The sequence below is a fragment of the Homo sapiens genome, chromosome 2 (genome assembly GCF_000001405.40).
Source record: "Homo sapiens chromosome 2, GRCh38.p14 Primary Assembly".
NCBI lineage: Eukaryota > Metazoa > Chordata > Mammalia > Primates > Hominidae > Homo > Homo sapiens.
The window spans coordinates 2870141-2876624 of record NC_000002.12 but is presented as its reverse complement, the minus strand read 5'-3'; the positions used below and the strand labels follow the sequence as shown (position 1 = coordinate 2876624).

General features: G+C 52.3%; 1 long non-coding RNA gene across 1 annotated transcript; it reads left to right on the top strand.

Annotated features, from left to right (window-relative positions):
• The first annotated feature begins 3904 nt into the window (after positions 1-3904).
• Positions 3905-6067, top strand: LOC124905968 (uncharacterized). The gene is made up of 2 exons (XR_007086193.1): positions 3905-5529; positions 5626-6067. It is a non-coding gene; the product is annotated as an uncharacterized LOC124905968 (long non-coding RNA).
• Positions 6068-6484: the final 417 nt, after the last annotated feature.

The window sequence follows — 6484 nt, the reverse complement described above, 5'->3', positions numbered from 1 at the left end:
AGAAAGAAGCCAACTCCATACCCAGTCAAGGGACAACTTCAATTCCTTTTCAGGGAGAGCGGCTGGGAGAAGGGCCAGGCAAGGACACTGGGGCTTCTGCTGAGACCCGTGATGTGGCTGCCCGGGCGGGTCAGCCCATGGAGGGGTCACACCGCTCCTGTCTGACTTTCGACAGGGGAGGCCAGCGGCCTCTGGCAGGCTCCCTCTCTAGGGAAAGCTACAACATTTTATTGGAATTTTTAGGGTCTTTCATCACTATGTTGCAAAGAGCTCAAGCCAGTATATTTATTCAGGACTCAAGTCTGGAGGGAAAAGGGCTTCTCCCCTTCCCCCACCTCTACTGTCCCTTCCCCCTTACAGGCATGAGGAACCTTTTCTATCCCTCCTGCCTCCCCAGAGAAAAAGGCAGGATACCCTGGGGTATGAGGTTTCGAAGGATCCTTAGACTTTTATATCAGCCCTGTCAGCAGCTGAGGAAACACACGCAAGAGCAAAGGCCCTGGCTGCCTCAAGCCCTTCACTGGCCCACCTCAGCACAGCAAGGGGCACAGACAGCGTGGGGACACCCAGCCTGTACCCAGGACCCAGCCGCTTTGTGGGCCATGCCCACCGGCCCTTGCCACCCTGCTGGATTCTTGCTGGTTGGGGTATGTACACAGGTGTCCTTTGTACCGGGGCCCTTGCTAGGTGTAGGTGCTGCTCTCCTGCCCAGGCCACAACTGCACCTTTGGCTGCTCTATGACCAAGCTTACATCTCCACAATGTGCCTATTGTCTACCTAGACCAAGAGTAACTGTCGATTAATCACGGGGTCCTCCAGAACCCCCACATTTCTCCTATGGGTCAGGCCTGGTGCTTCACTCCTTCCTGCCTCTGCCGGGAGCTCCCCATCCCTTCTTCACCCGGCAGCCTTATTCCATGTTAAGACACAGAAATCTCCTGTAAATGCTGGGATCCTACTGCACAGTAGGGTGATGGCGGTAACAGGAAGGTTTGCGTTTTTCAAAATAGCTGCGAGCACACCAGGCTGAGTCAGCGGGGGTGCCCGGTGAGCAGCCTGGCAGCTGCCCGTTGTGCATGGGCAGGGGAAGCCAAGGGGCTCAAGCCAGCCAGACCCTGGGTCCAGGGAGGTGACCTGGGCCACCCTGAGGCCAAGCCGGAGACACCTGCGAGCCATGTGCAGCAAGCTCAGGAGGGCCTCCCTGACCTGCCTTGGGAAAGTGTCCCTGGGCAGTGCTATCAACCCAGGTGACCCTGCGTGCTCCTGGCTCAGTGCTTCGGTGCCTGGCCTATGTGGCCAAGGTGGCAGGGCTGCTGGGGGCCCTGCGAGGGCCGAGACCCTTAGGCTGTAGAGGCTGTGGCACAGCACTGTGGGATGGGGGAGCTGGCTGCACCCAGGCGGCCTGGGGCTCAGTGGCTTTCTGAAAGCTTTCAAAGAGGTGAAGTGTGGCCCGTTCACACTGGGGCCAGGACATGGCGACATAGTGAGAGGGGGAGGCCCAGGTGCAGGGGCCGGAGAGCTTATGCTTAGGGTGCAGTGGGAGGGCAAGGGTTGCCTCGCACATGGGAGACGCCAGGGCCGGGCTGCGGGTGACACTGTGGCCAGGCCTTCCTCCCTGGGCCTCACCCTGAGCTGGGCAGACACTGACCGGGGCTGGCTCTGGCTCTGGGCGGAGGTGCTGGGGGGCTCACTGCCCAGGTCATCTCCGCAGGGTCAGGGGTCTGAGCTGCTTTTAGCAGCAGCTTCCCAGACACACGACGCCAGTTTCCATTTCTCCTTCAGCATCATTTCTCAGAAATATGGTTCTGTGGCCATTCACCAACAACAGTTGGTGAAATGTGGCTCTGTTTCTGGGGAGCTGGTGATATTTGGGTTTAAGTCCTGCAGATGACGTGGTGAGGGCTGGTGGAAGAAATTTGACAGGAGTGGAGAGACCCTGGACCTAGACCTCACTGGGCCTTGCACCCACTGTGGGACTGTGGTCTGGCACGGGCATTTCTGAAGCTGTGGCCACGCCATTGCAGCACGCATCACTCCTGCACACCCAGATGCAGAGCTCGGTGAGAACCTCACTGTGGGCAGTGCCAGGCACAGCAGGTCCCACGTATTTGAGATGCTCAGGAGCCCCAGGGCCTGGAGGGAGACTTTTGGGCCCACATGCCCCATGTTTGGGAAGGTTTGGGCTTAACCAGGGAATAACATCATGCATTTTGCAGCTCCCTTCCAGCTGCAGAGCCAGACGTTCCGATATGAAGTTGGCTCCGTGCGTAAATCACAGCAGGTACTCAAAGCAGTGGTTACCGCTCTCCTTATTCCTGCTTTCTCTTCCCTGAGTTCAAAAGCCTGCAAAGCCAGTTTTGGGAAAAAAAAAAAAAAAAAAAAGAAAAGAAAACAAAACAAAGGAAAAAGAAAACCCACTCTAGTCCTTGTGGCGAGGTAAATACTGCAGAATTGACTCTGGCATCCTGAAATGTGGTGTGGCATCGTAACAGGGGAACAAGAATATGGGAGCAATTTAAACCAAACAAGACTCAAAAATGACAGCAATCACGGACCTGAACACGACGCACAGGACGATGACTGTGGATGTGGGTTTTCCCCTTTGATTGCTGGCAACCTCATCAATGCTTTGCCTGGAGATTCCAGAGCACGAGTGGGGTGGAACACCTGAGACCCACCATTCAGACATCCTGGAAGGCCTCAGGCCTCATACTGTGTGGCTTAGCGATCCCCAGGCCCCAGGCCCCAGGCCCAGAGCTGGAGCAGCTCTTGGAGTCCAGCCTGTCCTCCACCAGCTGTGAAACTCTCTCCCAGTTATGCCTCTGGGAGGTGGCTTCTCAGTCCTCATACTCCTGTCTTGTAGGGTAAGAGAATACATACGGGGAACTGACAGAATGCGGGGACCCCGGAGCATGCCCAGCGCAGACCGATATTGCTTGAATTGTGTCCTGATTGCAGCCATCACCACAATTCCTCATTGGCTTTGGTGGAAACCTCATGTCAGCCACACATCCTGTCCCCTGGAGTGTCACCACCTGGTGCTTCTTCTGCACCTGGAATGCCACGTGCTCTGCTGGGCCTTCACCAGGTCACAGGGTCAGCTCAAGCACGGCCTCTTTCATAAGAGTTTCCTATTTTCCTTCCTATTTTTCCTCTCCTCTGTCTGTAACATGTGTTCCTGTATCGTCCTAGGTTATTTATTCAACAAATGATGATTGAACCTCTTTTATGCCCCAGAGACTGTTCTAGGCACTAAGAATATAGGAGTGAACAACACACACACACTCACACACACTCACCCACACACACTCCCACTCCCACACACTCCCACACACACACACACACAGTCACTCCCACTCACACACACACACACTCCCACTCACACACTCACTCCCACACACTCACACACTCTCACTCACTCCCACTCACACACTCACACACACTCACACACTCACTCCCACTCACTTGCCCTCATGGAGACATTTTATTAGAGGAAGACATAAGATAAAAATCTATAAGTAAACTACATATTAGATGGTAGTAAGTATTAAGGGACCATTTTCTACAAGGAAAGGGGATAAGAAGTGTGGCCAACAGTGGCTTTACTGGAAGCTGACATTTGAATGAAGACCTCACAAAGATGGGAGAGTTTGCTGGGCTCATCACTGAGGGCAGGATGTGCAGCAGGTTCAAAGGTCCTGAGTCAGAACGTGCTGGTGTGTGTGGGGAGGCAGTGTTGCTGCAGGGAGGTGAGAGCCAGCAGTGACAGGTGAAGGCAGAAAGTGTTGGGAGGCTGGGTCATATAGGGCTCTCGGGCATTTTAAGGACTTTGGCTTTTACCCCAATGAGATGGACAGGGTGGTGACTTGATTTGACTTTTGTTTTATTAGGTGTCTTATTCAGAGTCATTGATACTGTCTCAGTGGCTTAGTAAAAAAAGTCTCTTTTTTGCTCACATGTCACAGTCTGATAAGAGGCCCCCTGGATGGGCCTCCTCCCAGCCAGTGCAGGAATCCAGGCTGCCTGAGGCCGGAATCAGAGGCCTCAGAATAACTGCAGCCAGAGAAGAGAGATGGGTCGGGGAGCACTCTCTGCCTTGGACTAGAAGTGGCACATCGCTTCTGTGCGAGGTCCGTTGGCGAGAACGTCACGTGCCCAGGCTCACTGTGAGGGCGGCTGGGAGCACCATTGTCGCGTGTCCAGATGAGGAGACGATGTGTTGCACACAGCATTGTCTGCCATATCAGGAACGTGCTGGCTGCTGTCTGGGGAAGGGGAGGGGACAAGGCATAAGCGGGAAAACGAATTCTCCATGCGAAGCAGGTCTCCTCTGCCTCCCGCCGCCCTACCGTCAGGAGCTGAGAGAACCTCCTGGCCCCTAAGATTTCTCTTGAGACCTAACACCAAGGCCACAGCAAGTGCCCCTGCATCGTGCCCCAACAGCGCCAACCGCAACCCACTGTGAAAGGGCCAGGTGGGTGTCTCTGAGGATCCCATTTTGCAAACGAAGAAACTGGAGCTCCAGGGTGTCACTGGCGAATGACAGGCACAACCAGGACCCAAACTGATGCCCGACTGACTCTTCCCATCACCATAGAGTGTTGCAGACACTAGTGGCGTGGCAGGGCCGCCGTCGATGGCTCTTCAGTGTGCAGCAGAAGACACGGCCGAGGTATGTGTTTCTCAGAAGGCAAAGGCATGCATTTCAGGGATATCTTAAGATTATATCTTCCTAGTTTTTTTTTCAGTATAACATGCACTTTTTCATGAAATGATTATGATGGTGGATACAATTTTTTAATGCTCTTATTTAGTGATAAAATTCACTGGCAACACCACGTAGCTTCTCAGTTACAAACAACAACAACTCACGTAACAAATACTTACTGAGAGCCCGTGATGTGCCAGGTGCAATTCTAGACTCTGGTTTCATAATGACCCCAGCACTGCTGCCTGCGGCTTGGGGCCTCCTCCTTGTCTGAGCTCTTGTAAATAGGGAGTGCTGATAGTAGGCAGATTATGTAGGTTTGACTGGCTTTCTGAGAACAAAATTCTGTGGTCAGATAGAAATATATGAATGTTGTTTTGGATGATAAAAGCGGTCTTCCAAGAGGAGTCGGGTTCCAGCTACCTGACTGATTTTAGATTTGGGGAACTTCAGGGAAGCCCAGGTCGCATTGTGTTCCTTTTGCACCAGCTCATTTCTGTGGCTGCAGGGCTGGGGAGAGTCTGTTCCTGACATGTGGGGACATTCATGTAGTGCCATTTATCCCATTATCAATGGTCATTTTATTCAATCCATGGGTCCCGCCAGTCACTGGGTGTAATAGAAGCACAATTCCTTCTGAATGGAGGGTTCCTCCCTTACTTTAGGGTTCTAGAATGGGGGAAAGAATTAGAGACCCCACCCTTCACCAAGCAGGTCGCAGGGCAGAGAGAGCATGGGCTTGGAAGAGGGGCAGACCTCTGGATGATTTGGGGTGCCCTGTACTCCTGTGGAACTCACGTCTTTGAACTTCAGTTTAGTTGTGTGTTAAACGGAAACAATAATGTTAGATTTGTTATGCAAAATTAGCTGCTATAAAAGCCCTTGAATTTCATAAACCCATTTTTTTGCTCACCAGGAGTCCACACAAATGTCCCTGGCTGGTGAATGGTCTTCTGTCACACAGGGACCTGAGGACAGAGGCCTCCATCCCGTGGCTGTTCCGTACCCTGGGGCCTGGAGGCCTCAAGAGAGACAGGGTGGAGAAGCCTCGCCTGCTTCTTAAAGCCCCTGCCTTGAATTTACACACATCACTTCTCATTTTCCAATGGCAAAACTTAGGCCCGCAGCCATTCTGGGAACAAAGTGGGTGGGACATGCCGTTCCTGATGGGTAGCAGCACCAGGACCAGCTCCACTGCATGGAATAATGAACCCACAGCTTTGGTGAATAGGCAGCCACCTCTGCCACATATCATAGCTTGTTGGGTGGTTGTGAAGCTTGAATATTATAACACATGTGAAGCATTAACCTTGGAGTGCCCTGCAGTGCAGGATAAATGCTGTTATTTAGTTAAGTTACATTCTGTCTATGTCATTTATGAATGCATAGTTTAGAATTAAGTTTTATAATCTCCTCCAAATTCAGTTTCCCTCTGTGTAAAATGAGGAGGGTATGATCTATCTTAAAGGATGGCTTTCAGGATGAAATGACATAATATAAGGAAAGCACCTGCCATAAAATCGGTGCCCCTGAGTGGACCTGCTGTCACGGTGAAAGTAGCAGCAATGGGACTCGGCGATGCCTGAGCCAGAGGCTGGCAGGGCACCTGCTGTGGCCTGGGGCTGAGAGAGCACGTCTGTCAGCAATTCCAGCCTCTCTTTACTAGCTGTGCCCTCTAACTAGATGCATGTGGTTGTTTCCTTGTGTCTGTCTGTCTTTTCAAATCTCTGATGTGGAAAAATGAACAGAAACTTGTATTTGGGGGAGGATCTGCA